This window comes from Homo sapiens, chromosome 10, assembly GCF_000001405.40.
Source record: "Homo sapiens chromosome 10, GRCh38.p14 Primary Assembly".
NCBI lineage: Eukaryota > Metazoa > Chordata > Mammalia > Primates > Hominidae > Homo > Homo sapiens.
The window spans coordinates 46,313,506-46,331,868 of NC_000010.11; the positions used below are offsets into that span (position 1 = coordinate 46,313,506).

Consider the following 18,363-nt stretch of genomic DNA (forward strand, 5'->3'; position numbering starts at 1 on the left):
TGTTCATCACCTGGGGCCAGGAGTGCTGGCTAGGATGGCTAACAGAGTTGTTGGGCAACAGTGACTGGTTCTAACAGGGAATAAGGATTCCTTCCTTGGTTCATTGCCTTGGGACCATAGGGAGGACCAAATTTTTAAGATTTTCTCTTTGTAACTTATTATGAATGAAGACTAATAATTATATAATTATTAATGAGGCCTCAGTAATGTACGCAGTCCTCCCATGGGCCATTTGTTAGGCTAAGCCATGCTTTCACTGTTTTTATCCTCCCAGTAACTGTACCAGTAGGTGCTATTATTATCCAGTTTGGTGAAGGGGACAAAAGTGCTGAGATATTAAGTAGCATGTCCCTGCTCCTAAAGCCCACGAGTGATAGGGCTGGATGTGAACTGGGCTGACTCCTGCCCTTACTCTGCACTGCTCTCCTTTTGGATCAGCACCAAGGGGCTTCTCTGCTTAGGCCCTGGGGCCCTGGAGAGCCCTGCTTCTGGCTCGGCCTGGGACTCATCTGCCTGTGCCTCCCACAGTCCAGCCCTTTGCACCTGGAAGATGATTTCATCACCAGGGTTTATAGAGGGACCTGCACTGGCCAGACCTCCTGCATCAGGCCAGCATAGGTTCTCAGTGGCCAGGTGGCTGTGCATGGACAAGGCCTTGCAGGCTGCAAGCCTCTGGATGCTGCTGATAAGAAATGGGCCGGGAGCCCCTGGGAGGCGTGCTGACACCTGGCAGGGCACTGCTGGTGTCAGAGGCATGCAGGGCTCCTCCAGCCGCTGGGCTCCTGGCTCTGTGCCTCTGCACAGGGCTCTCAATCCCAGCCATGCTTGCACAGAAGCCCACTTTCCATCCGAGGTCCCATAAGGCCTCTCCACGTTGCTACAGCCCAGTTCCGGTCACATGGCACTAGTCCAGCCTTATGCACTGAACAGGTGAGACACTTAGGAGGGATAGAGCTTGACGGCCGAGTGTGAAAACAGGCACCTCAAGCAGAGGAAAGGCAAGAGGTGGGAAGGTTGGCGTGGGAAAGGGCCAGAAATGGCCTTACTGTCCAGTGTGGTGAGACAGGGGATGGAGCAAGTCGCTGAAATTGTCTCATTCCCAAGGGCAGCTCTTTGAAGCTAAGGTTTAGGGGTGGGGTGGTGGGGGGCAGAGTAATTGCATTACAGAGGGCACTTACCACTGCTCAGGGCTCTGCCAGGCCCTTGCCACTGTCATCATGTGAAGTCCACCTTGCGATTCTTGGAAAAGGAGAGACAATCCCTGTTTTACTAATGGCAAAATAGAGGCCCAGAGTGGCCCAGAGAGTTGCCTAAGGCCACCCAGATAGTAAGTGGCTGCCTCCAGGCTATCAGAAATCAACCCCAGATCTGTCCCTAACCCAGGGAGGCCCATAGCTGTGGCTTGTAGACCTAGGCTCCTTTCTAGCTCTTCTGCGACAACCTAATTTGACCTTGTGCTTCCCAACTATAGTCCTGAACACCCGACTGAGTGTCTTGTAAGATTTCTGTCGGATACCCAAGAATTCAGACAATCTGGCAGGAGTTCCCCGTTCTCCTCTTTAAGCCTTCGGTGTGCTGGCCCTAGGGTCTAACATGAATCATGCACTAAAGAGGATGCATCCCCTTAAGACCTTCAGCCCGTTTCAGAGCCACAGGGTCAGACTGTAAGCCTAGTCATGAGTGTACAGAGCCAGACACCAGCCAGGCTGCTGGTGAGCTCAGCAGCTTCCTGCTCAGAGACACTGGGAATGTGACCTTCCTGCCTGAGCCAGGGGTCCCTGAGTGAGAAGCAGCCCTGAGGCTGGAGGAGAGAGAGTGCATCTCAGTGAGAACCCGCTGGAGACCAGGCTTGGATGGGTGGCTCGGCCCCAGCCAGGCAGCCCAACTGCAACCGCACGGCTGTGGAGGCATCAGTGAGACGTCCTGCCAGGACAGGCATAGGCTGTCTGTCTCTTCACTGCAGAGTGAAGAGGCCACCTGTGTGCTGCACACCCCTCTTCCAGGATCTCCCCTCAGACAGGGATTCACTCAGGCCCTCAGCAGGTTGGGGGATCCTGACAGAACCAGTGCATGCCTCTTTCTCCACCCATGCCCGGCCTTGTGAGGAGGCTATTTCCAAACTCTTCTTCCTGACTTGGCATTGTGGGCTGACCTGGGGAGTGTGATAAGCTCGGGAAGTTGATGAGCCTGTTTGACTGGAATGTGCTGTCGAATTTAGAGGAGCTGCTGCCTTTTAAAACCTTGTTTAGTTTATTGTTTCAGCAAATCCAAACATTTTTGCATTTTGGCACATAATAATGCAGGAAATTCTCCAAGGCTCAGTTTACCAAAAACCTCAGCATTTTTGTGGCAAAAGCAGTCAGTCTTGTTTAATTTCAATTTTTGTTTTAAATTGAGTGTGTCTCCCTGCTCCATCACCTTCAGTTCCCTGAATAAATTTTTTGATAGTGTCCTCTTCCAGGCCATCCCCACTACACACTTATACAAAATGAAGCAGCACAACTCCGAGTCTCTTGAGCCAAACTCTACCTCCCATCCATGCTGAGGATTCTCCTTCACCTTATCCTGTGGATACTCATTATGTTAATGGGAAACAATATCACTCGATCCATCAGGAAAGTCAGGCTAATAGTGTGAAACCTTACTCTCTGTCACCAAATATAGTGCCCACAATGATATAACAGCCTTTCCAGTGAGTTTAATTCGTGTGCGCACCACAGCAGGAGGCCCTTTAGAAACTGGATCTCATTTCATTCTCACAACACCCAGGAAGGCTCATAGCTGCCATTCATATAGATCTTAAGGTGGGCCAGACACTGTTGCAACTACATTCCACAAACTAATATATGCCATAACTCTATTGTGGGGAGGAAGCTAGAGGCCCTACAAAGTTAGGTAACCCACCCAGGGTCACACAGCCAGGAAGCAATAGGACCAGCATCCAACAACCTGGCTCCAGGTCCTTACTGTGTGCATGGCCACCTCTCTGTCCTGCAAGGTAGTCACTACTGTCTGCATTTCAGAGCTGTGGACACCGAAGCTCTGATGTTTAGTGATGGGCTCAACATGGCAGGGTTGTTGAGTGGTAGAGCCGGGTTATGAACTGACCTGAGGGGAGGCTCATGTCTGAGTCAGGTTCCACCCCATGTCCTGCTGTCAGAGTGATCTATGGAACACCTGCAAGTGCATCTCTCTACAGTGCAAAATGTCACACGGCAGGTCCTCAAATAACGTTTCATTCAACGTCATCTGAACACCGAGTGAGAAATGATGATGCTGATCAGAAAAAAATCCATTCCCAGCTGAGGCCAATGTCTGTGTGGAGTTTGCATGTTGTTGCTATGGCTGCAGGGAATTTTTCTGGGTACTTCAGTTTCTGCTTACATCCCAGAGATGTGCACATCAGGTGGATTGGCGTGTCTCTATGGGTGCTGTGTGAGTGTGTGGGCATGTGAGTGCACACTGCAAGGACATGACATCCTGTCCAGGGTTAGTTCCCACCTTGCACCCTGAGCTGCTGGGATAGGCTCCAGCCTCCTGCGACCCTAAGCTGGAATAACTGAGTAAATAATTATGTTATTTGCTTTTATTAACTTTTCTTAAAGGTGTGTATAGCTCACATTTATTTCAATGTTTAATATTAGAAGCATTTTGGTTTTTATTTAGAAGTTTGATGATGCCTTCATGACTAGATATATGCCACAGGACCTTAATTTACTAATATCAATTAATCTATGATCCAGTCTGTTTTCTTGTACACTGTTTCACTGGAAGTCATGATTTCCAAGAAACTATCAACAGCTTCTAATGAGAATTTACTGAAATTTACACATGATACATTTGTGAATATTAATATCTTGATTTCACACTGTCACTTGCAGACCTCCTTCTAAATTCGTACTCATGTTTGCTGGGATAGTTGTTCTGGGTAACAATTGGAGCTTAATGCAGACGGGCCTTAGGATGCATTCATGACCATGGAGCTCCTGAGTTCTCCTCCTGGCCATATGCCCGTGGAGGGCACTAGACCAAGGGACAGGGGTGGCAAAGCCAGGCTGGCTGTGGCCTCCAACTGTCCAGGAATCCCAGCTTGCAGCTGTTCTTGAAGCCAGTGCTTTTTGGGAAAGTTTCAGATCATAACTTTGGTATTGCAATTACAGAGAGCCTTCCCTTCGACTCCTCAGCACCACCCCTCCAACCCCAAAACACATGCACACACACACACACACATTTCTGTAACATAATCGGGAAATACAAAGATTGAGCCAAAACTCCAAAGCACTGGCAATTAAGGTTTCTGATTGTTTGCCAATCACTTCAGGAAATGTCCCTTTACCTTAGAGTGGTTGAGCTGATGTGAGAAGTAATTAGTTGCTGGCTTAGATATCTGCAATCAGTAGAGAGGCAGTGAGGAAGGAGACCCTCTCAAACTCCAGGAACCTCCTCACCACCTTACACTTACCCCACAGATTCAGGGGGCAGCCACCTGGAGGTCTCCTCTACTGTGAGGCACCCCAACCCTGCTCCTCTTCATCAGTGCAAGTGTAGACCCATACCTCAGAGCTCCCTGGATCTCCTGGGATAGACTGGGGCAGAGGAGGGGAGGTGGCCTCAGTGTTAGTGCCCGGGGTCCTGCTCCGGAGGATCCCTCAGCAGTGGGTAAACACTAGGTCTGGAATGATTGTGGTAAGTTTTTACTGGAATGTTTTGCAATAAATAAGTAGAAACAAAGGAGGTGGAAATAAACATGAAAGATTCCTTTCTCTTTACAATAGCAATAAAAAACAAAATACCCATATATAAGTGTAACACAAATATGCTGACCCATGATGAAAAGAAACTATAAAACTTTACTTATTGGTACAAGAGAAATTTGAAAATATAAGAATCTAGAGCACAATGTCAACTTTTCCCAGAGGAATTCATGAGCTTGCTATGTTATTTTAGTGAAAATTGTAATGAAACATTTTTAGGGAATTTGATCAAAACGACAAGTTCACTCGAAAAAAATAGACAGTTAAGAATCATTAAGAAATTTTTAATACAGAAAAGCAGTGAGAGAAGACTTGCCTTATCCAATGTTAAACATTAAGCTCCAAAAATTAAAATAATGAAAAACAAGAGGCTGACAAAATAATGGCCCCAAATCGAGCAAACAATAAATAGAGTATATAATTGTGGTGATAGCCCCTGGTACTGACAGTGTGTATGCAGGTGAGCTCAAGTGCACTTATGGATGTTTAAGGATTGTTTAACATATGTCAAAAGAAAAACATCAGGCAAATTAAATGTAACGGAGTTGAATTGAGCAGAAAAAACAAAACATGATTCCAAATAGGGCAGCCCTCAGAATCAGGACAGACTCAGAGAGTTTCCAGGGCTACCACAGGGTCAGATAAGATTTTGGAACAGAAAAGGGAAAACGACATAGAGAAAACGGAACTGAGGTACAGTAACAGCTGAATTGGCAACAGCTCTGTGTGTCCTCATTTCAACAGTTGGCTGCTGTGAGTGGCTGAAGTGTGGCTGCTGTGAATGGCCAAGGCTCAGCTCCCATTATAGAAGTATACTCCGCAGTTGGGTTTTCAGTTTGTTTATGTACTGAGTTAGGCTGTGGTTCATATGTGAGAACTCAAGTATGTGAGTATGGAGGCTTTCTCAGACCAAAATTTAGTTTTATTTAACAATTTCACTCTTTTGAGTGGCCTCTCAATTTGGGGAGGTTGACCAAAACTTTGGGCATTGATGCCACTCTCTGTCACCATCAAAAATGAGTTACTTGATCTCAGTATGGAATTCACAAGTCACAACATCATGCCACTTCAATACTTTTGTATGCTCTTGCTGACTTAGTAGAAGTGAGACCACTTATGCTCAATGGATGGTTGCATACAACACATCGAAGATTTTAGAGGGTTCAGTGGACCACGGGGACTATTAGGATGACTACAAAGAGGATGATATCAAAAGACCAAAGTGAACTCCTTAACAATGTTTCTTATGAAGCAAACTGACCCAAATCAATCAAGTCAAGGTTCAGGCAGTCTAGGCAGCTCAACAGTGTTTAAGTTGATTAGTCATAGTCTTTGTTCAGGGTGTACAGGCCATAATTCACTGTAAAATGGCCTGATTTGTAGAGGCATTCATCTTTGTTGTTAGCCTGGTAACACAAGCATGATAGCCTGGAAAGTCGCTAGAATAAATATAAAGATTAGAAAACCCAAGTTTGTCATCCACCATTTAGGATGCCTGCAAACCAACTGTCAGTTGCTCCCATAAACACATTATGTGTTCCTTTCTCTTGAGAGATTTTCTTAATGTATTTGGTGGCAGAGTCTAAGAAAACAGTAATACCAGCCAGCCACCTTTTAAATTAAACTTTCTGTAGTAACAAAATCAGAGGAGAGATAGGTGTAACATTCACTTGTGTTCAATACCAAACACAAGCCCTCAACTGTAGCAAAAAGGAGATGTGAAGCTGCATGATGTTCCATGTGAATGTATATGTCATCACCTCTCTTTTGGAGTATGGCTTTTACTCATGGTTCACATCTGGCTATTTGATATGGCTAACTCCTGCCTTTCAAATACCTTCCCATGAAAGTTCCCATGATAGGTCCTGTGATCAGAAGCAAAAACAGTCAATAACTGAAGTTAGCACCAACTTTGAAACAGACAAAGAGAAGCTAGTTTCTACTGAGTAAAGATTTCAGTTGGTTTCCTGGGGGCTCACTCTTGCTGGTAGTGGGGAACCCACTGTATGAAATTTAGAGCTAATCATTAAATTGGGAAAATTCTTAAATTTTGTAGCCAGACAGACCTCCCAGGAGTTCAGCATAATGGAATAAGCACATTCTCTACTGACCCAATATAGGCCCTTAGGGGTTGGAGAAGTGTCCATTTAGTTGTATTTGAGCAAGGGTTTGTTACAATTGTTCACCCATGGCCGGGTGCAGTGACTCACTCCTGTAATCCCAACACTTTGGGAGGCCTAGGTGGGCATATTGCTTGAGTCCAGGAGTTTGAGACCAGCCTGGCCAACATGGCAAAACCCCATCTCTACTAAAAATACAAAAATTATCTGGGTGTGGTGGCACATGCCTGTAATTCCAGCTTCTTGGGAGACTGAGGCATGAGAATTACTTGAACCCAGGAGGCAGAGGTTGCAGTGAACCAAGATCATGCCACTGCACTCCAGCATGGGGTACACAGGGAGTCTTTGTCTCAAAAAAAAAATTGTTTGCCCATCAGTCTGCATAAAAGGAAGTTTGCTTTTTTGTACCTCCCTTATAATATGTTGTAAAGGTATATAACCACATTTAGTTTTTAAAAAGTACCCTACTGAATTTAATCTGGTGACATTATACAAGCAATTACTTGTACCCACGTAGATAATTCCCAGGTCTTGAGAGACTAGTGCCTGGAAGCCAAATATACCTTTTGCAGGTATCACTTGAATAGGTTTTGTATATTTGGTAACAATCAGGTTATTAATTGGAAATGTTAGAGTGTTGTTTCTAGCAAGTGCAGGAAAGAAAGTAGCAATTATGTTTAGTGTATCAAGGACAACTTTCCACTCATCCTTTGGAGTTTCAAGGTGATTCTCTTTGGGAACGTAGACACTGGCATTAATGGAATTGTTTCTTCATTTTTTTGGTTTTAGCCCACAAACCCAATTGCTCGGGTTTTATGCTGGAGCAGAAGCTTGAGCTAAAGCCATCCACTGATTATGGTCCCATGAATTTTCCTGTAGAGAAAAGGAAAGGATTAGGACAGCAGGAGATGAGGGGAAAAGACAAAAACTTAAGTTTTCCATGATGTCAGAGAAATCTTAATTTATGATCTTTGAAAAGTTGTCCATTTCTAGGATGTTGTCTGCTTCTGGGGAGAAATTTCTCTCATCAGGTTTACCTGAAAGTCTGCAATATATATACAGTCCCAAGAGTCTGAAGGGGCCTTTCTGAGTTGTGAAATGCAGACCCAAGGTCCAAGGCCCTGAAGCCTCACTGCAGTGTGGGTGGTGACAAGGACTCGGTATGGTCCCTTCCAATGAGGTTCAAAGCAATTTTCCTCTGACATAATTTCCAGAAGACCCAAGCTACAGATTCTACACCATGAAAGGTTTGATTATCCTCAGTCAGTGCATCATAAAAAGCTTCCTTTACCTGGTGAGAATACACTTTGACATAATGCATTAAAGCCTACCAAGTTTAAGCATATCAGAGTTTAGGAGAGTGGGAGAGGCATGCGGTTCTGTTACTAGGGGCATATGCTTTCCAGTGACTATTTCGTAAGGTATCAACTTATGTTTTCCAGTAGGAGCGTATCTGATTATCATCAAAGCCAATGATAGTACCTTTGGCCAAGGCAACCCAATTGACTCAGTTAACTTTGTCAATTTGAGTTTTAAGATGTCATTTGTTCTTTCAACTTTTCCAGAAGACAGAGGGCTAAGGACAATGATAGTGCCATCATGTCCATAATATCTTAAGTGCTTTATAACTTGCACAGTAAAATGAGTTTCCTTATTGCTGGAGATTTCTCCAGCGAGTCGCCAGAAGGAAACACATTTTCTGATAATTTCTTGGCTATTGTCATTGAATCAGCTTTCCCACATGGGAAAGCCTTTACTCAACCAGAAAACATACAAACTGCTACAGGGACATACTGATACCCCGTTGAGGTTGGCAACTGAAGGAAGTCCATCTGTAAGTGTCCAAAAGGAAGGTGGATCACAAGGTCAGGAGTTTGAGACCAGCCTGGCCATATGGTGAAACCCCATCTCCATTAAAAATATAAAAAATTAGCCAGGTGTGGTGGCGTATGCCTGTAGTCCCAGCTACTTGGGAGGCTGAGGCAGGAGAATCACTTGAACCTGGGAGGCAGAGGTTGCAGTGAGCCGAGATTGCACCACTGCACTCCAGCCTGGGTGACAAAGTGAGACTCCATCTCAAAAAAAAAAAAAAAAGAAATTGCCCATCAAGTGGTGAAAATATACTACCTGAAGTTTTTATTGTTTTCCCAGGATTATGAGTTTGATAAACCAAACATTGATTATAAACCATTTTAGCAACTTTGAAACAGTCATCCCACCAGTATTTCTTCATAACATGGATTCTGTTTCAGGACAAGTTGTGGGATGCAGAGCTTTTAATAGTAGAAGCTTCAAAGACTCAGGAAGGGCCAGGCAGCCATCTGAGCCCTCTGTGAGTCTATGCTTAACATTGAATTTACATCCTTTAGATACCAAATTTGTTTTTCCAAATCAAGTGCATTGCAGTGTTTACTGAGTAGGTCATCATGAGAGAATTGACTTGGATCAATCTTATGGAGTTAATTTAAATCGTATATCCTAATAGTTTCAGCACTAGCTGATTTGGCATAAATACCTTCTAGAGCATTCCTTTTATATTCAGGTTCAGTTTTACAGGTATGAGCTTCAATCTTAATAATGGCCATCTCTGATGGTAACCAGGTAGCAGAAAGGAGTTTATCTATTTGGAGTCCGTTTATTTAATGAGGATCCCACTAGAAGTAAGAAACCCTTTGTTGTTTCCATAAATGCCAAAATTGTGTACTACTCCAAAAGTATGTCTTCTATTTGTGTAAATATTTACTGACTTGTCCTTAGCTATAGGACAGACTTGGGTGAGAGCAAAAAGCCTGTGGTTTGAGCTGACTTAAGTTGAGGAAGAATTCCCTCCTCTATTAGCTCATTTTGGGTGGTAATGGCATATCCTGCCTGATATTTTCTTTTGAGTTTTTGGCATAGGACCTATGAACAAAAAAATAATAACTCAGGATTAGCCAATGTACTGTCTCGTAAATTAACGCAAGAGGCCACTATTTCCAATACTGCACTTACACAATTGTGGTCATCACCAGAGTCAGGAAGAGTTAATACAATAGCAGCGTTAAGTAGGTTGCAGCATTTTAGATGGAGATTAGAAGACATCGGGAAGAATTTCATAAGATGCTAGATGGCTTGCTGAAAAATGCTGTGTTTGGTTGAAACTTAATAGACTTTTCACAGCATGTTGGACTTGTGAATTGAGTTCATTCCCTAAAACAAGCTCGGATGAAGCTTCCAACTTGGCTGCTGCTACATCTGCTTTTAAATGATTAGAATATTCCCTAACTACTGGGTCTAATTGCAGACTGGAATATGCAGTGGGCCTATGTTTCCCCCATGTTCTTGAGTAGGAACTTCTAATACCTGATTGTTGTGTTCATGAACAACCAAGGTAAAAGGTTTAGTGTAGTTTGGAAGTCCTAAAGCTGGAGGCTGTCATAAGGCCAGTTTCATGGTTAAAAGCCTGGACTGTCTTTCCGAGGTAAAGATTCCCATACTGCATTTCTAGTGAGCTAAAACAATGGTGAGGCAATTAAGGGAAAATTTGCAACCCAGGATCCTCAATATCCTGTGAGTCCAAGAAAACCTCTTAAATGTCTTTTGGTTCCAGGCCAAGGAAAATGTTGAATAGTTTTGAATTCTCCCAGGTGAAAGGGAAATCCCTTCAGCAGTCAGGTCATGTCCCAAATAGTGAAATATTTCTCTTGAAAATTGAAGTTTTTCCATCAAGGCCTTGTGACCTTTATGTGTGAGTTGCTATAGAAGGTAAATTGAGCCAATTTCAGAGCACTGTTGAGTGGGAGAGCATAACAGGTAATCTACATACTGAGTAACAGTAGAATGTCCAGAAGACTGTAGGGTTATTAAGTACTGAGGCAATGCCTGGGAAAAATAGAAAAGGCCAGGTGTACTGCTGATTTTTCTGAGTAAAAGCAAACAAATGTTGACTCTCTTTATGAACCGGAATGCTAAAGAAGGCTGAGCAGAGGTCTATTACCATGAACCACTTTAAATCAGTGGGTACGTTAGGTAATAAAGTATTTGAATTTTGGACTATGGGAAATCTTGGTATTATAATCTTATTAATTAGCTGTAGATCTTGAACAAATCTTCAACCTCATCCATTTGGCTTTTTAACTGGTAGGATGGAAGTGTTAACAAGGACTGGTACATGGAATTCTAAATCCTAGTTTAGTTAAATCTCCTACAATTGTTGAGAGCCCTTTAATTTCATTAGGTTTTAGCGTATATTGGAGTAATTTAGGAAAGACTTAGAATAACCAGTTTGGACCTTTATAGACGCCGCACTTTTAATTATTTCTCTATCATTTGAGGAAGAGACCCATAAATATTCAGGTGTTTTAGAAAGGTGTTTCATTATGGGCCTGAGTTTTGATCTTATCGATTTGTCTGTAGAGAGCATAACCATTCTGGTTCAGGAGAGTCAGGAAACTCTACGATTGCTTCTCCCTCTGAGGAGAATTGTATGTGTCCTTTCAACTCTGAAAGTCCTACCCTGGCAAGTTTACTGGATCACTGTTACATAGTAGAAAGGTATATTTTCTTGCAAATATCCTCAAGTTGATTAGGCGGGTTCAGATATGGAAGCCTCTTGAACTTGATTCGAAACCCTCACCACAGAGATGATCCTTTCACGCCAAGAGATTTGTTGGCTTTTTAAAGTAGGGTTTATGCTGGATAAGGCGACCCTGGTATACACCAGCATTGCACAGGATTCCCAGCTTACATCTTGTTTTTCTATGTTTATTTAAGGGTGTTTTGGGGAGAGTTTACTAGAGAATCCCTGAGCCCTGTCTATTTTTATTATTCTGAGCATTAAAATCTCTTGGGTCCCCTCTAGTGGTGAACCAGTCCAGCCTAAAGGGAGGAGCCTTGGTGGTAGACTGAGACAAAAGTCAACAATCTCCTTTCCCAGTGTCCTGGGTGTTTGCAATGAAGGCATCTACCTTGGGGTAAGGAATTCCTTATTCTGCACCTCTTGCTTGTGATTTAAAATAAAAATGAGAAGGTCCCTTTGGTCTTGGCCCCTGTAACTGGTGTAATTGGAGAGGCATAAGATTGTTAGCCTTTTGGGTTTTTTCTTGCTCTAGAGTCTTCTCAAAATGTTCAGCTAAGGCCACCAATTCAGTCATGTCTGTAACTTTCCATCCTGGCTTATGGGTTTTAATTGAACTGCCAAGTTCAGGACGGAGCTCATTTGTAAATACAGCAGTTAATGCCATTCCAGTCTCTGAAGGAAATACTCCTTGCTATATTTTGAGCACAAAATATTTCAGAAACAGTGTTTCTAAGCAAGTTCTGTAATCTGAAACTGGTTCCTCCTGCTTTGGTCTGCAGGGTTGGATGATGCACCAATCAATTTTTTCTGGAACAATCTTAGGAACTGAATGTAAAATGTGTTCAGCATTTTCTCTAGCTCCTTTTACCTCTTCTCATGCAGGGGTTTTTGAGGGTCTTTAATATCCTCCTCAGGTCCACCCCATTCTGCTGCTGCCATCCATTTCTTAGCTTCACCAGGCCCCAATATTATGTGAATAAATTGGTTAAGGTCAGGGAGCCATTCGAAATTCCTCAGTAAACCCTTGAGCCTTCACCCTTGGGTTAGGGAAGTCCTTTACAGTGGCTCTAAGCTCAGTTTTAGGCCATGGAGTAAAGGTATTTATCACAGGAAGGCCTGGCTGATCAGAAGGTCTTTCTTTGTAAGGCATCTGGGTTTTTTTTTTTTTTCATCTTCATGCTAAAAGGGTTATTTATTAAAAATGTTAGTGGACTCATAGTATGTGAGTAGAGATGGATAAAAAGAGGAATAGCTGTGAGTAGAGATGGATAAAAGGAAGGAACAGGGGCTGGGCAGGGTGACTCACCCCTGCCCTCACCCAGCACTGGTGTTAGGGATGATGGAAGGCAGGGAGAAATGAGTGGACAGCAGTCAGCAGGCCCCTGAGCCCCACAGCTGGCACTTCCTCCTCCCACAAAAATGAACGGAGGCAGCCCCTCACAACATCCCCACAGATCCCTCAGGCTGGGTGGCAGTGCCAGGAGGAGGGGCCAACTCCTTCTGGGAGTGGCATTATCCTTTCTGGTTCCCGCCATGCCTTCTAACCATGCCAGAAGAGGGTTTGAGCACAATGGCCTTGGCTGCCCCTAGGGATTGCTCAGAGGAAAAAAGGTTGGGGGCTGAGGCCTGAGTGGACAGAGGAGAGCACTGACCAGAAGCCAAGATCTTGCCTGGGCCTTATAGTCTGGGTGGTGCCCAGGAGGAGTGAGGTGGGGCTTCAAGCCCCCATGACAAAGCCACCTCTGTGAGGCCTGGACTGTGGTCCAGCACATCCTGATGGAGTGACCTGCACTCTGGGTCCAGTCGGCTTGTGGTCAGGAGGGCAGTGGTGGGTGGAATACAGTGCTGAACCTTCTTGAGCCCCAAGGAAACGTGGAGAAAACATCCGTGTTCCTCCAGGTGGAGGTCTGGGCCAAGCCCATAGACTCTCTGGTCGCTCTTGCTCTGGGTACGGCCTTGAGCTTTGTGTGTGACCTGGGGCAGGCAGGGTGAGGGTGCTGTTATGTGAAGGGACCCCAACTCTGTGCTGCAAGGAGAGAGACAGGCTGTCTGGAGAAAGAGAAAGAGATTCAGCTCTAGTGCTCTGGGGCTTTGGGACCAGGATGCTCCCCTTCAAGGAAGGCAGCTTGTCAGAGGCAGCACCAGAGCTGAGGCTCAGGATGGCTGGGCTTGGGCGTGCAACATGGAGAGGTGAGGAGCAGAGCCCTCAAGAGGAGCGAGGGAGGGTGCCAGGGCATGGCCAGCTCTTCTAGTAGCTGGGCTGTGATTGCCTGAAGGCAGGGTATGGAGACCCCAGGAACCTGGCAGGGGACGGTCTGGCGTGCAGGCTGGGTGGAGGGACTGGATCCTGCCAGCAGTGCAGAGCTTCTCTGGAGGGTGTGAGCTGGGAGGGAAGATGGTCCTGGGAGGACTAGATTTGGGGATGGGTGGAGTCAGGGAGAGCAGGCTAACACACTTGGATTGTACTAAGAAGGAAGCCTGAATCCCTGAACAGGTGGCAGGAGCCCAATCGGGCATGAAGGAGGGTGGACAGGCAGCTGCAGACACAGGTGGCTCAGGACAGGGTCTGAGGGGGCACAAGGGGAAAGTCAGCATCATCCTGGATGGGGACTAGCAGGGCAGGGGCAGGAGAGGGCAGGTCACAGGACGGGGCCTAGATGGGAGAAGGGCCCCTCTCAGTAAGAGAGAGACCATCTCTGTAGGGGAATCCAGCATTTGAGGCATTTGTCACTCACATGTCCAAGGGGAGGCTTTATGCATGAATGACAGGTTCAAGCAAGCTCAAAGTCTGCATGGTCTGTGGAACACCTGTGAGGAATGGAGCGTTTCCTTGGGACCATCAGGCTGAGACTGGCCTGGCAGGAGACCCCTGGGATTCCAGGCAGCCGGGAAGGGTGGCCTTGAGTACAGAAGGAGCAGAACAGGCCCCACGCCAGGGAAACCACAAGCATTGATGGGCTGCTGCTCCTGCCCTGGTATGTGGGCATCATCAGCGCCACATCACAGATGGGGAGGTCGAGGCAAAGTAGCATATGCCCACTGGCATCCTGGGATCCTGCTGCAGCCCTCCAGCCACAGGTGCTGAAGGGGATGCAGTTACAGTCCTCATGCTTGCAGAGCAGGGACAGGCACATCTAGAAGGACAGGGCACTTCCCACAATGGGCTCAGCTTTCTGCCAGGACATGACTGGAAATACCAAGCAGGGTGGTCACTTTAGCTGGGAGCAAGGATAAGGGGCTTCCTGGAGGAGGCCACTCTGGAGCTGAGTCTGAAAAGGTGAGCAGCAGTTCACTGGGCAGACAAGGTTAGGAAGAACATTCCAGAAACAGAGGACAGCCTATACAAATTGAGAAATGGGAGAGCTGAGCAGCTCTGAGAAAGATTGTTATCTAATTGCCTGCCTGCTAAGCCCCAAGAGAACAGCCTTGGGGAAACCTAACAATTCTCCTTGAAAAGGCCAGGCTTTCAATTTGCTTTCATGCTTATAAGATGGCTTCTGGAGCTCCAGCCATCACACTCATATTACAGGCAGGAAGAAGAAGGAAAAAGGGAAAGCAGCCTTCTTTAAAGCAATGTCCAACAATTCCTATTTATACTCCATTGCCAGAATGCATTCACATGGCCATGTTGCTCAGCAAGGGAGACTGGGAAAAGGTCATTTTACAACTGAGCACATTGCCTCTCTCTTTTTTTTTTTAATTTTAAGTTCCGGGATACATGTGCAGGATGTGCAGGTTTGTTACATCGGTAAATATGTGCCGTGGTGGTTTGTTGCACCACATTGCCTTTCTTAACAAAAGCAGGCTTCGTTAGTAAGGAAGACAGGAAGAATGGACTTGGGGTGACCAATCTGTGTTTGGTATTGCTGGGCCCATTTAAGAGATGGGAAAGCCATTCCCAAGAGGTTGAGTGACTTGCCTGAGGTCAGAGGCTAGATTGAACCCCAGTCCCTTTGACCTTACTTATAGTGACCCTGAGGGCCTTTTTGAAAGGCCCTGATCAAGTCTTCAGACAGGGTTGCCCCGATCATGAGCATAAGAAGCCAGCAGAGAGAAAGGCATCACAGATGAACACAAAGACAATCTCTGTGTGGCTTGCAGCTGTGTGGGTGGTGCCTGGCTACACTAGTGTGTGCCCAAGATGAAAGCAAAGCAGCTGCTTCTGCAAAACAGAGTTTGCTCTTCCTACGGGTCTGGATCATCCTCTTCCCAAACCAAGGGAACCGTGGAGCTGCTGCCTTCTCAGCTCATCACCCACCCAAGGGTCCCTGGAGCCAGCCTTGAGGGCTGTGGTGAGCACTCATCCCTTCCACATGCTCACTAGAGCCTTCTGTGCCATGCTGGGGCACAGAGGTAATTGGGGCCTCCTCCTAGCTACCAGGGGGAAGCAAACAATTTCGACTGGAGGGCTGAGGGAGTCCAGAGTCAGAGACCCAAGGCTGCCTGGAGAGGAAGAGGGGACTTTGAACGCTGGAGCTGAGTCTGGAAGGAGGAGTCCAGGCTGGAGGCAGCACCAAGGGGAGAGAGGAGGAGCACAGCAAGGCCCACCCTGTGGGTCCCGATGGGTCCTGGCCCCATCCCTTTGAGCCAGGCAACCGCAGCCTTCTGAGCCCAGTTCGAATGCCATCACGGTGACCTTCTCTCTCTTCTCTTCCCTACAGGGGAGGTACCTCAGCTTAGCCCTTGCACAGTCCCAATATGCACAGGCTCCCTGCTGCCCAAGGATCTGCTTTCCACACAGCCAGGAGTGCCTTTCCCTACCACAGGCTCCCTGCAGCCCAAGGATGTGCCTGAGACACAGCCGGGAGTGCCTCGCCCTCAAACAGGCTCGCTGCAGCCCAAACATCTGCCTGAGACACAGCCAACACAGCAGGGAGTGCCTTGCCCGCAAACAGGCTCCCTGCAGCCCAAGGATCTGCCTGAGACACAGCCCGGAGTACTTTTCCCAAGCACAGACTCTGTGCAACCCAAAGAGCTGCCTTCAACCCAGCCGGGAGTGCCTCCCCCTCACCTGCTCCTCCAGGTGCCGCCTCCCCCCAGCTAGGTGCTTGAGGCCTCCCTCCAGGATGCTGCCGCTGCTGTCCCCACTGCTCAGGCACACGGCAGAACCCCCTTTGTCACTCCCCCCCTCAGAGCCCAACTTCTAAGGCACCAAACACCCAAGATTAACAGGCTTTTGTTGCTGAACTGGACATATACATTGAGTCTTTTCTTGCGGTCAAAGGAGTTGAATTCTTGCTGATCAACTAAAGTTGATTGTGTTTGACACCAGGGAGCTTGTCTTTTGAGTGAGCTGGATTTATACTGCACCTGCCACGACACAGTGCCCTGGTGCCGTCGGGATGCCAGGCATGGATGCATTCCACTCCCAACAGCCCCGAATTCATCTGTCATCAAGGGCTGGGACACATGAGGTCTTAGGCCAAATTCTCCATTTAAAAAGCTCAAAAAGTGTTTGAAATATGAATTCAATACTGTGTATCCCTGCCTAGCTTTTTGTTGTTGTTATTGTTGTTGTTGTTATTGTTTGAGACAGAGTCTCGCTCTGTCGCCCAGGCCCAGGCTGGGTGCAATGGTGTGATCTCAACTCACGGCAAACTCCACGTCCTGGGTTCAAGTGATTCTCCTGCCTCAGCCTCCCGAGTAGTTGGGATTACAGGAGCCTGCCACCATGCCTGGCTAATTTTTGTATTTTTAGTAAAAATGGGGTTTCACCATGTTGGTCAGGCTGGTCTCAAATTCCTGACCTCAGGTGATCCACCCACCTCGGCCTCCCAAAGTGTTGGGATTACAGGCGTGAGCCACAGCACCCGGCCCCTCCCTAGCTTTTTGAAAGGAAAAATACTTGCATATCTCACTTCCTGTACTCATCTTCTTGTCCCTGGTTTCCATTTTTTGGCTACTCAAATTCTGAATGTGTCCCAGAAGGCAGTGAGGCCCTTTCTGGAAATGCTAATTATCTTCCCAGATACCCCACACCATCCCCAAGACCAGGCAAATTTCAGGGAATCCTCCTCATTTCACGAGAAAAGGTAAACTTCCCTCCTTAATCATTTGTCCCCATAGAAGAAACCACAGCCCCAACAGAGATGAGTGTCAACAGGCAGTGTCCCACCGCCCACTGTGGCACATGGTGGCTGCATGACTGCCCAAGGTGCCACCCACACAGGCCATGGGCACCCCACATGGGGCTCCTGAGCAAGTCAGGAGAGGGGAGCTATGGCTGAGGTTGTCCAGTCATCCCTAATCCATCTTTGAGAGTAAATAAACGGCTCTCCACCTCCCCCATCTACTGGAATGCAATATTGATGCTTTTCCACAGAAATTCTGAAAGACAAGTACAAGTTAAAAATATACCAGATTTGGATTTTAAACAGTATTGACTAATTTGACAGTGATAACCACACTGTCCCCCCTCCCATGTTTGTTTGTTCGTTTCTTTGTTTTAAGGCTTCAACGCAATGTCTTGCCTCTGTGTGTAGGGCTTTGGGGGGCTTTCTCTAGGTCACATGACTTTAACCTTCAGTGCCATCATCCTGAGGAGTTACTTTTTCTTGTCCCCCTTCTCCGTCTTGCACCCTCCTGTCCTGCTGCAGCCTGGACTCTGCATCTGGGTCCTGCCAGCTGCCATGATGGGAAGCCTGCCTCTCCCACCCTTCCCCAGCCTCTCCCCTCTGTGTCTGCACATCTATCTCCCAAGCTGGTTATGAGAGGCTCTTCCAGGCACACAATGCCTTGCACAAGGCATCCAGAGAAATGAGCCAGGTCAATGTTGAGGAAATGGAAGAGGATGCTAGAGCCCCTGGGGGTGGACGGGACCTAGTCATTTGGTTTTTCCCCATTTGGAGGCTCATTCCCTGAGCAACTGTGGGTACTCGAGAACATGCTGCCCCTCCACACTTCACTTCTCAACGTTCTTCCTGGAATGGGA

At 46.6% G+C, this 18,363-nt stretch overlaps 1 protein-coding gene across 19 annotated transcripts in view, besides 1 other annotated feature; it reads left to right on the forward strand.

Annotated features, from left to right (window-relative positions):
* ANTXRL (ANTXR like) overlaps window positions 1-16,624 on the forward strand; it is a 44,038-nt gene extending 27,414 nt beyond the window's left edge. For 17 of the 19 annotated variants that reach the window (XM_047424705.1, NM_001278688.3, XM_011539430.3 and 14 more), the window contains one exon: window positions 16,094-16,624. In XM_047424705.1, the coding sequence (XP_047280661.1) occupies window positions 16,094-16,579 (486 nt within the window). In that variant the 3' untranslated portion in view covers window positions 16,580-16,624. Of the gene's footprint in view, window positions 1-11,714; window positions 11,827-16,093 lie in introns of all 19 variants that reach the window. The other 2 variants (XR_945612.2, XR_945614.2) reach the window with 1 other exon arrangement.
* Window positions 333-833: an enhancer, noted in NCBI's record as "H3K27ac hESC enhancer chr10:47685074-47685574 (GRCh37/hg19 assembly coordinates)". NCBI's record gives its function as "activates a minimal SCP1, AML or CMV promoter by ChIP-STARR-seq in primed H9 embryonic stem cells {active_cell/tissue: H9 hESC(primed)}" and the evidence as "EXISTENCE:reporter gene assay evidence [ECO:0000049][PMID:30033119]".
* Window positions 16,625-18,363: the final 1,739 nt, after the last annotated feature.